The 12,635-nt window shown below is 38.1% G+C and overlaps 1 protein-coding gene and 1 long non-coding RNA gene across 8 annotated transcripts in view; one reads left to right on the forward strand and one right to left on the reverse strand.

Moving 5' to 3' along the window:
• LOC105377299 (uncharacterized) overlaps positions 1–10,725 on the reverse strand; it is a 38,333-nt gene extending 27,608 nt beyond the window's left edge. Inside the window, exon 1 of the long non-coding RNA XR_938918.4 lies at positions 10,472–10,725. This is a non-coding gene — a long non-coding RNA (uncharacterized LOC105377299). The remainder of the gene's footprint in view (positions 1–10,471) is intronic.
• BMP2K (BMP2 inducible kinase) overlaps positions 1–12,635 on the forward strand; it is a 140,016-nt gene that overhangs the window by 40,992 nt on the left and 86,389 nt on the right. For all 7 annotated transcript variants that reach the window (XM_047415932.1, NM_198892.2, NM_001419799.1 and 4 more), the window contains one exon: positions 8,696–8,814. In XM_047415932.1, coding sequence (XP_047271888.1) covers positions 8,758–8,814 — 57 coding nt within the window. In that variant the 5' untranslated portion in view covers positions 8,696–8,757. The remainder of the gene's footprint in view (positions 1–8,695; positions 8,815–12,635) is intronic.

Here is a 12,635-nt window from a genome sequence, read left to right on the forward strand (position 1 = left end):
GGTCATCTGTACTTCTGATAAACTTAATTGACTACAAATTTGGGGGTTCCCTTTGGGTTTGATAATTTGCTACAGTGACTCACAGAACTCAGGAAAGTGCTACGCTTACAATTACTCTTCTATCAGAAGGGACACGAATGAACAAGATGAACAGGTACATAGCACAAGGAGGTCTGGAAGGGTGCTGAGTGCAGAAGTTTTTATCCCCATGCTAGGTACACCACTCTGCCAGTACAGCCCTATGTTCACCAACCAGGAAACTCTGAACCTTGTATTCAGTGCTTTTATTGAGGTCTCACAAAAGAAGCACGATTGATTAAATCATTGGCCATATGATTGAACTCGATCTCTAGTCTCTCTCCTATCCGCAGAGGTAGGGGGTCGGGGGAAAGGGAAGGGAGGGGCTGAAAGTTCCAACCCTCTCATCTAATCTGTCTAACCTCTAGTTGGTTTTCTGGTGATCAGCCCCATTCTGAAGCTATGTAGGGGCCCCATGATGACTTAACCTCTTAGCATAATAAAGAAATGTCTACTAAGGAATTCTAAGTGGTTCTGAAGCTCTGTACCAGAAACTAGGAACAAAGAACAGACATATATTTTTTTCTTATATTATGGTAATAGAGTGATGCTTAATAAACATAATACAATTTTAAGGCTTTTCCTCCCTAAAATGGATGGGGGAGGCATTCATTTAGATCTTATTTTGAGTGGCTATATTGAATTGCTGTTCCATTAGGCAAACTAAGCCAAAACATAGAGGTGAATTATGGTGTTTAAAAAAAGATATATATATTTTTTAAATTTAAGTTCTGGGATACACGTGTATAACGTGCAGGTTTGTTACATAGGTATACATGTGCCATGGTGGTTTGCTGCACCCATCAACCCTTTGGATATATACCCATCATAATGCCTATAATCCTTCAGGTATATACCCAGTCACGGGATTGCTGGGTCAAATGGTATTTCTAGTTCTAGATCCTTGAGGAATCGCCACACTGTCTTCCACAATGGTTGAACTTATTTACACTCCCACCAAAAGTGTAAAAGCATTCCTGTTTCTCCACATCCTCTCCAGCATCTGTTGTTTCCTGACTTTTTAATGATCGCCATTCTGACTGGCGTGAGATGGTATCTCATTGTGGTTTTGATTTGCATTTCTTAAATGATGTTGGAAAAAAGAGATGATCTTAGCCTTCATTTAACACCTCACATTTCCAGTTCTTTAAAAAAGTGTTTTATAAGCTGATTTTAGGTTTGAATAACTTATTTTGTACTTCTGTTTACACTTTTATCCACATATGCCTTGGGCATGGTTAAGCAGTTAAGTATAGTCTCCTTGAATTTTACTGTGTTTATATTAGCTTGTTTATCAAGCCATGTATTCATTTCCAGTCTTCTTTTTTAGAATGTGTAGTTTAACTCTAACCTTCGTAAGATGAAGCAGTGTTTTTTTTTTTTTTTTTTCTTCCTGAGACAGAGTCTTGCTTTGTCGCCCAGGCTGGAGTGCAGTGGTATGATGTCAGCTCACAGCAACCTCTGTCTCCTAGGATCAAGCGATTCTTGTGCTTCCGCCTCCTGAGTTGTTGGGATTACAAGTGCATGCCACCATGCCTGGCTAATTTTTTGTATTTCTATTAGAGACAAGGTTTTACCATGTTGCCCAGGCTGGTCAGGTTTTGAAGCAATAAGCACTTCTATGTATAATGCCTGGTAAGTGAGTAGGCATACAATATTATTTATTGAATGAATGAATCAATGAAAGATGGAAAAAAATGTTCCGCTAAATTTCTTCTTGGAATCTAGCATAATCAAGGGGAAGGCGGAAGCAAGGCTTTTGGGGTCAGACATAAAAGTAATAGTAAGAATATCCAGAAAATGGATATTGAGCTCAGGCCATCCACTCTCCTTGGCCTCCCAAAGTGTTGGTATTACAGGTGTGATCTTAGGCGATCCACCATCCTTGGCCTCCCAAAGTGCTGGGATTACAGCTGTGAGCCACTGTGCCTGGCCAAGTAGTAATAGCAGCAGCCTAATACTACTAATTGTATTAGTAGTAGTTACAAAAGCTACCATTTATGGAATGAATTGTATTAATGCTTTGCATACAGAACCTCATTTATTCTTTAGAGTAGTCCTATGAGGAGACCTTATTATCTCTGCTGAAAGTATAAGGAAACTGGGGCTCATACATAATCTCATTTATTCTTTAGAATAGTCCTATGAGGAGATCTTATTATCTCTGCTGAATGTATAAGGAAACTGGGGCTCAGAAATTAATTTGCATTTGGTCACACAATTAGTAATGGTGGAGTTAGTATTCACTTTTATGTCTGACTCCGAAAGCCTTGCTTCCACCTTCCCCTTGATATGCTAGATTCCAAGAAGAAATTTAGCGGAACATTTTTTTCCATCTTTCATTGATTCATTCATTCAATAAATAATATTGTATGCCTATTCACTTACCAGGCATTATGCATACAAGTGCTTATTGCTTCAAAACCTCCAACCCCCATAATATTCATTGTTAATATAAAGGACAAAATCCTTTCATTTCTTGTTGGGCACTTTGAAATGATTTTGCAATACTCAGTCTTGCTCAGTATATAATATCTAGGTCTTTTTTGTCATCTAATAGTAGGGTGTGGATTCTAGTGTATTTTCTGGATATTCTTACTATTACTTACTGGCATTATTAATGTTATTGTACAATTATCTTATGTTGGTTATCTTACTATAATAACTGTGAAAATGGAGAAATCTTGAAGCAACTTTAAAAGTTTTTAGGCTAATTTTAGTCTAACTGAAATTTAGAAATTTAGCAGGAAGTATTTGGTAAAATGCCATCAGTATATAATATCCCCATTTAATAATAGTATTAGCTTACTTGTGCTTACACATTCATCTATTGCTATGTGCGATGACTGGATATGGCTATAGGGCTGAAGCCATTCTAAGGCAAATATACAACCATTTTCTTCTTCTGGTAACTTTTAGGGTTTTCTTGTTATCTTGAGCCTTCTGAAATTTCATGATGATGAGCCTTGATGTGGATCTTTTTGTTCTATGTGCTGGGTATTTGCTTGGTGAGCCCTTTTCATATGGAAACCGATGTACTTCAAGTTTGATGTGTGTGTGAATGTGTGTGTTATATCTTTGATACATTTTTTTCTCCCCTCATTTTCTCTTTTCTTTTTCTGGAGAGTCTGTTGTTTAGATACTGGATCTGGTGGACTGTTTTTTTTCTGAGACGGAGTTTTGCTCTTGTTGCCCAGGCTGGAGTGCAATGGCGTGATCGTGGCTCACTGCAACCTCTGCCTCCTGGGTTCAAGCAATTCTCCTGCCTCAGCCTCCCAAGTAGCTGGGATTACAGGCATGTGCCATCACACCCAGTTAATTTTTGTATTTTTAGTAGAGGTGGGGTTTCACCATGTTGGTCAGGCTGGTCTCAAACTCCTGACCTCAGGTGATCCATCCACCTCGGCCTCCCAAAGTGCTGGGATTACAGGCGTGAGCCACCATACCCGGCCTGGACTGTTTTTTTAATATTACAGTCTTTTATCCTCTGAAAAAAATTGTGGAATATTTCCCTAATTTTATCTTCTAGCTCCTCTGTTGAAGCTTTAACTTTTGATTTCTTTATTCTATTTTGTAAAAGTAATTTCTCATTCTCCAAATATCCCTTTTGTAGAACTCTGCTCTTATTTCATGACTGCAATGTCTTTCTTCTACTCTTAAGAATATTTATAGGTTCTTTGGATGATTTCTTTAGCTCCCAGCACCTCTTCAAAGTTCTTTTTTTCTGTTTGCTTGTTTTACTATCTTGTCATCTTAAAGGGTTTCTTTGAACGTCTGATCATCTTTTTATGTCTGTTCTTTTTAAAGAGTGAAGTTCTAAAGTGATGATGCGCTTTGTGTAAATGGGGCAAGTTTCTTGACTTGAGGCTTCACTTTAGTGTGACGATGCAGAAAGCCACTTTTAAATTGTGTGACTCCCACATTTCATTATCTGTATGTTTTTTCCAGTTTCCCAGAAAAAAAACACTGTTTCCAATTTCCATTTGTGACTACCCCTGTATGTCTGGCTGCCAGTGTTATTGTAGCTGAACAGTGGTCTTGAGTTGAGGTGGGGGGCTTCTCTTTTCAGTAGGCATTTACTTAATTCTTTGTTTTTTTAGGACTACACTCACCTTTCTTCTATTCCCATGCCCCAGAATGTTTCCTGATGTCCCATATATACTGCTGGTTTAATTAATACTGCATAGGGGCGAGTGTTGGCCTGGCTGTGGGGAATGGGGTAGCAAATCAAGAGGTCTGACTGACTTTAAGTCAGTTTTCCTATTTGCCAGTGAACTACTTAGCTCTGTTTTAAGGATTATTTTGTTATTGATCAATTTCTACTCCTTTGGGTACCTCTAGTTAATCAATTAATAACTATGCCAGAGGAACTGTGGGAAAGATACGAAGGATAGATACATTGGCTTTATCACTTTTCATTCTTTTGCATTATCTTTTTAAGTGAATTTGAGGGGAGTTACAAATATGTAAAGCACCAATACATTAAAAATGATTTAATTAAAGCATGGAAATGACAAAGCATGGAAAAATAATTGCTTAATAGAAGGAATAAATAATGGCTTACAAGAAGAAGTTAGTCTGTAGCAGTATATGCCATATGTTCATATATAGTTATTACAGAGACTTGGCATCTCTAGAGCAGTGGTTTCCAAGTGAGTGTAAACTATGTTGTCATTATTTTATTACTACCATACTACAGTGTATAACAATTGAGAGATATCCTGGGTGGGCTGGCACTTGAGATTAGATGGAGGATTGTCCATTATGATTTTTCTTAGTTGAAACAAATTTTTAGATTGGCTTAACAAAACTACTCTCTCATTTTAATCTGGTTACCTTTTTTGTGTGTATGTGGAGACCAGAGGTAAGATTTCCATTAGGTGTCCTATGAAATTATTTCATGTGTAAATGTTATATCCTACCCTTGAAAAAAGTTGGAGGAGGCTGAAAATTACTGCTCTTTAAAGAATATGCCTATGAATGAAACTTCTATATTTAGTTATACAATTTATGTAGTTTATAGAGTGCAAAAGATACCAATTATTTTTCTTATTTACTTTTATAAATACACATTTATTTCCCATTTTATTTCATCAGATCAATATCCCAGTTTATTTCATCAGATCAATTTCATCAGATCAATATCTGTCACAATTTTGCTTTTATGGGATTTTGAGAACATTTAGAATGCTTTATAATACTCTCATAATTTCATGTTTGGAATTATAACATTTAGCATTAATGTAACAACTATGCTTTACAGTATTAAATTGGACATATATATGTAGAGTCTGTGGTTACTGCCAATAATCTTATGATTTGTGTACAGAAATTTGTGGAAAACTGAGGTACATGATAATATAGTCAAATTCTAGATAGAAGTACCTGAGTGAGTGATGAACGTGAAATTGGGTTGGTCATGAAAGAGTTCTGTGAGGAAAAATAAATACTTAAGAATTTGATAAGCTATAGATTGGTGGCAAGTATTACACCCCTCTCTTGGACTACTATAGTGTCCTAACTAGTTACCTCCCTGTAAGTGCATTCTTCAAACAGAAATAATATTAGCTTATCAGAAAATTATTGAAAAGATAGTACTGGGGAAAACATAAACATTTATTACATTTTATTCTCAAAGCAGATACAATTAACGATCACTGTTTACCATGTTTAGGTAGAATTTCTTTCTTGAAGTTCAACGTATCTTCTGTGTTCAGAAAACTTAACATTTGATAAGATCTGTCTAAATTAGGGTTAGTAGAATTGGAAAACTTTGATTTTGGGAATGGTTTTTATGAAGAAAACCTACTTGATACTTGTTTTTCTCATTTCTGTAATTCATAGGGATAAAATCACATTGCTCTGTGGGTGAGTAAGAATAGGTATATAGGATCCATGGTTCCTCTGGGAACTTACTTCAGTGACTACATAACTTGGTTGTGCATCAGAACCATTTGGGGGAACTCTTTTCCCTCTTCCATCTAATAAACAATTTAAAACATATACAAGAGTAAAATAGTATAACAAGTAGGGAGATTTTTAGTGCTCTCTCTCTCATATATATATATAGTTTTGTATATATAGTTATATATAGTTATATATATAGTTATATATATGGTTATATATATAGTTATATATAGTTATATAGTTATATATAGTTATATATAGGTATATATGTAGGTATATATATAGGTGTATATATATATATAGTTATATAGTTATGTCTGTATATCTGTATAAATATATAAATGGGGCCCCATTATAGGCCTACTGATTCAGACTTGGGGCCAGAATTTGGAAACTGTTCAAGATAAATTCATACACAGACCACCTCAGGCAATTCTGATGCAAAGCTATGTTTGGGAAAGCATTGTTATAGAGGAATAATCTAGACCTAGATAGATAAATGTCTCAAAACAAATGCTATTTAAATGATTTCTCTCAGCTGTACTCATACTGCCTCTTTATCTAGATAAATTCTTTCTTTCCACATTTTCCTTAGTTTTTGTAACCAAATAAAATTATGGTAGTTTAAGTGGCCCTTTCTATTAGGTCTTCTACTTTCTGGCTTGTTAATGTTTACATATGAAATTAGTGCTAAGTGAGTTTCTTTTAAAGTAATGCCCTGCATTGTTAGAGATTTTACGTAAAGTACCTTTCCCAAACATCATCATCATCTGATTTATTCCTAGAACTGCCTTGTGGGGTGGTTGATTTGATTTCCCTAACACTATACATGTGGAAATCCAGATCTATAAAAGGGAAGTTGTGCAGTTTCTTATAACTGGAAATGGAAGTTGTAGAGAATCTGGAAAGAGTATGTACTGATTCTGGAGTTTCCTAGGAGCTTGTATTAGTCTGTTCTCATGCTGCTAATAAAGGCATACCCACAACTGGGTAATTTATAAAGGAAAGAGATTTAATTAACTGACAGTTCCATGTGGCTGGGGAGGCCTCACAATCATGGCAGAAGGTGAATGAGGAGCAGAGTTACAACTTACATGGTGGCAGGCAAGAGAGCTTATGCAGGGCAAATCCCATTTATAAAACCATTAGATCTTGTGAGAGTTATTCACTACCACAAGAACAGTCTGAGGGAATCTGCCCCCATGTTTCAATTATCTCCACCAGGCTCTGCCCTTGACGTGGGGATTATTACAATTCAAAATGAGATTTCAGTGGGGACACAGCCAAATCATATCAGAACTCTTTTCCCCTATTATGTATTCCTAATAGTTTTTTTCCTTTTACAACTCTGTATTGATCTGAGTGCAGGTGACTTATTATTGCTCAGGATGCTGCTTTTTAAAGGCTATTAAATTAATGCAAGTGACATACCATTTTAAAAAAAGTAATTGAGCTATAGCATATTCTGTGTCAAGATAAATTTTAAAAACTTCATGTAGAAATCTTTGTTTAGATGTGACAGAATTGTTCTTTAGAATACCTACCTAGTGCTTCAGATAAGATGCTTTCTCAGCTGCAGTTAACAGAATTCCCAGCCAGGCACTGTGGCTCACACCTGTAATCCCAGCACTTTGGGGGGACAAGGCGGGCGGATCATGAAATCAGGAATTCGAGACCAGCAGCCTGGCCAACATAGTGAAGCCTCGTCTCTACTGAAAATACAAAAAATTAGCCAGGTGTGGTGGCAGGCGCCTATAGTCCCAGCGACTTGGGAGGCTGAGGCAGGAAAGTTGCTTGAACCTGGGAGGCGGAGGTTGCGGTGAGCCGAGATTGTGCCACTGTACTCCAGCCTGGGCAACAAGAGTGAAACTCCATCTCAAAAACAAAAACAAAAAAACCCAAAAAACAGAATTTCCATATAAACCATGGCTTAAGTAATGAAGACATTTACTGTATGAGTTCTAGAGGGAGGTGGTTCCAGAGTTGGCTGATTCAGTAGGCCAAATGTCTGTGTTTTGGATCATTTTCTTTCTGATTCTTTGTTCCATTATGGCCATAGATGACTGCATTAGGGCTAAACATCATAGGCAACAAAATCAAAAAGCAAAAGAGCAGGGCCTTCTCTACCAGTCTTTTATCTATGGAAAATCATTCCCTGCAACTCGGGCTGACTTTACATGTTCAATTAGCAAGAACTAGTTACATACCCAATCCTAAATCAGTTACTGATAAGGGGAAATGAGATTCCTGTGATGGGCTTAGAATAATATTGGTTCATCTTCTGGAACTGGAGGAGGGAAGCACCTATCTGATCCCATTGATGTCTCATGTTGAATAACGTCAGTGTTTTGTCATCCAAGAGGGAGATTCTGATATGTAGGCAGTCACTTGTATATACCAAACTTTAGTAACATAATTGTGACATTTTTCACTATACTACATAAAAGGTATTCTAGTGCAAAAGGTGAAATTTTAGCCTTTAAGAGAGAAGCGTCTTCATTCGAGAAGCATATTTTCCTCTAAGTACTACTTCATGATTGACTTAGGAAGCCAGTGTTTTGGCATTTAATCTACTAGTAGCTTATTGCACTTGTTTTTGTCTTGGGTACAATCATTGTTTATTTTCCTCCAATATGCTCTATGATTATATTACATGATTTTGGCATTTGTTTTTGTTTCTTTTAAATTAATTGGTGCTTTGTTTTTCTAGGTGGATTCTCCACAGTTTTCCTCGTGCGTACTCACGGTGGAATCCGATGTGCATTGAAGCGAATGTATGTCAATAACATGCCAGACCTCAATGTTTGTAAAAGGGAAATTACAATTATGGTAAGTGAAGGAGTAGTTCTCTTTCAGAAATTTTGCAAGTTTTTATTTTTTATTTTTCTTGGGATGGAGTGCAGTGGAGTGGCACGCCCAGGCTGGAGCGCAGTGGCGTGATCTCAGCTCGCTGCAACCTCCACCTCCCAGGTTCAAGCAATTCTCATGCCTCAGACTCCCAAGTAGCCAGGATTACAGGTGTCCATCACCATACCTGGCTAATTTTTTGTATTTTTAGTAGAGACAGGGTTTCACCATGTTGGGCAGGCTGGTCTTGAACTCCTGACCTCAAGTGATCTGCTTGCCTTGGCCTCCCAAACTGTTGGGATTACAGGTGTGAGCCACCGTGCCTGGCCTGTTTTGTTTTCTATAACATTAACCAGCTTTTAGGCAAGCTGCTTATTTATAATAATCTTTGAAGATCATTAAATTAGAAGATAATCTGGTAATTTGCAGTATAGTTGTCCCTTAGTCTTCTATGGCGATTTGGTTCTAGGACCCACTACGGATACTAAACTCTGCAGATGCTCAAATCTGAGAATGCTCGAGGCCCGTATGTAAAATGTAGTATTTGCATGTAACCTACACACATCATCCTGTATACTTTAAAGCTACTCTGCTTTCTTTCTTTTTTTTTTCTTAAATACTTTTTAATTGTGGAGTATTTTCAGGATAGAAATATTTACTGAGTTATATAGTAAACACCAAGCTTGTTCATCATCCAGCTTAAGAAATTAAACCCTACAAATACTGCTGGAGCCTTCTTTGTGTGCCTTCTCAACTGTATCCCTGTATAGGCATACCCTGAAGATATGAGTTTGGTTCCAGACCACTGCAATAAAGTGAATGTTGCAAGAAAGCAAGTCACACAGTTTTTTTGGCTTCCCAGTGCATACAAAAGTTATGGTTACAGTTTTTATCTCCCCATTTTAGACCAATGTTTCAGTTGCCTATTCTACTTCTATATCAAACTATTACTCTGTGGAGAACCTTTCTCTGCCCCATTGTTGAACATTATGGACTGTACATTGTGTTCCTTGGTCTGAAGAAATGATAGTTGGCCCTCTAACTCCATACACTGTCTTATCTTTCTTTCTTTTTTTTTTTATGGCACTCTGAGCATTTTTGTATTCCATTGCATAAGCAAAGCCCGGTCCAGAGTCAATGTCTATTCCTCTCAAGACCTATTCGTAGCCCCCTGAGGGCTACCAGCATCAGTCTCACTTGCCAGCTATGTTCAGGGTCTTCCTATCAGGGAATCTCATCCATAGCCATTGGTAGTCTCTGTCTGTCTTGCTGACACTTAGAACAGTTCTCACTGGCATTACGTGCCTGTGAGGGTGCAAAAGGAACATGTCTTTATTCATCCTATGTCTGCACTGCTGCAGTACCCCTATGTGTGCTCATAGACACATAGCACACCTGCTTGCTGATTCCAGTGACCTTCCCAATCTGGAAGGGAGTTCTTCTGATGGGCACTGACTTGTTCTACTTTAATGCACCCCTCAAATTTCCATAGGTTGTGTGGCCAGGCCATTGATTACTGCCTGTGAGTCAGTAAAAAAACCTCAAACACAGGGGCTTCCACCACTGTTCAGTTCTGCCATTACTGTAAAAACAAAACAAAACAAAACAAAACAAAAAAACTGCATGCAATTCAGCCCACCTTGCTGATACGTTTTTACTTTCTTTGATCAAAGTAGCAGCCATCCAAACAGAATGTTGTCCATTCACTTTGGAACTGTCGTCTGTAAACCATGTCACTCCTTGTTGGTCAATTAAGAGCTGTTCATAGTGTACTGTCCAAGTGTCCAGTAGAATCCAGCAGCACGTCACACAGTTCCAGAGTCACCCTAGGGATAAAGAGACTCCCTGCTTAAGAGTATCTCCTTCTTGCCTTCCCCAGGTAGCATGAGAGCAGACCCATCCTCAATCTGTGTGGGCACCATGTAATCAGCTGCCAGCATGGCTAGAATAAAGCAGGAAGGAGAAGATGGAAGAGCAGACTTGCTGAGTCTTCCAGCCTTCACCTTCTAACTTAAAGTTGCAGTTCCCACCACCTGCTCTTTAGATTCTATTAATTGGCTGAAGTGGCTCACAGAACTCAGGGAAACACTTATGGTTAGTGGCATATTTTAAAGATATTGCAAAGGGTACAAATGAAGTGATGCATAGGGTATGAGGTATGGGGGAAGGGGTACAGAGCTTCCTTGCCTCCGTGGGCACACCTCCCTCCAGGAACCCTCACATATTCAGCTATCTGGAAGCTCCCTGAACCCAGTCCTCTTGGGTTTTTATGGAAGCTTCATGAGGTCAGCATTCCTTCCCCCAGGGTATAGTGCAGGACTCTTTCTGGGGAGAGTTTTAAGACCCACAATCAGAAAGGTGGGCAACGATTAGAGTCCTGCCTTGGGGCAGGTGAAAGGAGGGCAGGAGAGAGATTCTGTTTCCTGAGGCCTAAGACACCCAACATTATAACAAAAGACTGTGACTAGGGCTTTGGGAGTTACGAACCAGGAACTGTGGACAAAAACCAATATAGTATCATAACATCACAACACTACACTGTAGTCTATAAAATGTACAATAGCATTATGCCTAAAAAAATTGTATATACTTTCATTTAAAAATATTGTTAAAAAACAACTGATGATCACCAGAGCCTTCAGCAAAGTGCAGTCTTGTTGCTGGTAGAGGGTCTTGCTTTGATGTTGAAGGCTGCTGACTGATCAGGGTAGTGGTTGCTGAAGGAATGGGCGGGGTAGCTGTGGAAGTTTCTTAACCCATTTATGCTGGAGGTTGCAAGTTTTTGAATTTTTGCATAGTGAAAAATCAGACCTTGGCGATGACCTTGAGCGGTAGGATATAAATAACTCCCACATGCTTAGCGTTCCAATAATGGGACACTGGGTATAAGTGGGTTTTAAACATCAGTGAAGTTTGCCACATCAGTTGACTTTTCCTTTCATGAAAGCTTTTTCTGTAGCATGCAATACTGTTTGATAGCACTTTATCCACAGTAGGACTTCTTTCAGAATTGGAGGCAATCATGTCAAATCTTGTCACTGCTTTATCAACCATGTTTGTGTAATATTCTTAAATCCTTTGTTATTATTTCAACAGTGTTCTCAGCCTCTTCACCAGGAAGTAGATTCCATCTCAAGAGACCACTATCTTTGCTCATTCATAAGAAGCAGCTCCTCATTTCACAGCAATTCTGTCAGATCTTCAGGCTCCACTTAATTATAGTTTTTTGTTTTTTTTTTTTTTTCTGTTTCTACCATGTCTGCAGTTACTTCCTTCACTGAAGTCATGAATTCCTCAGCATCATCTGTGAGGATTGGAATCAGCCTCTTCCAAACTCTTGTTAATGTTAATATTTTGACTTCCTCCTATGGGTCACAAATGTTTTTAATGGCATCTAGAATGGTGAATCCTTTCCAGAAGATTTTTGATTTACTTTGCCCAGATCCATCAGAGAAGTCATTATTTATGGCAGCTATAGTCTTAAGAAATATATTTTTTAAATAATAAGACTTGAAAGTTAAAATTACTCCTTGACTCATGGGCTGAAGAATGGATGTTGTGTTAGCAGGCATGGAAACAATCTTTTCTTTTCTTTTCTTTTCTTTTCTTTTCTTTTCTCTTCTCTTCTCTTCTCTTCTCTTCTCTTCTCTTCTCTTCTCTTCTCTTCTCTTCTCTTCTTTTTTTCTTTTCTTTTCTTTTGATGTCTTGCTCTGTTGCCCAGGGCTGGAGTGTGGTGGTGTGATCTTGGCTCACTGCAACCTTGGCCTCCTGGCTCACTGCAACCTTGGCCTCCTGGGTTCAAG

The sequence above is a fragment of the Homo sapiens genome, chromosome 4 (assembly GCF_000001405.40).
Source record: "Homo sapiens chromosome 4, GRCh38.p14 Primary Assembly".
Classification (NCBI taxonomy): domain Eukaryota; kingdom Metazoa; phylum Chordata; class Mammalia; order Primates; family Hominidae; genus Homo; species Homo sapiens.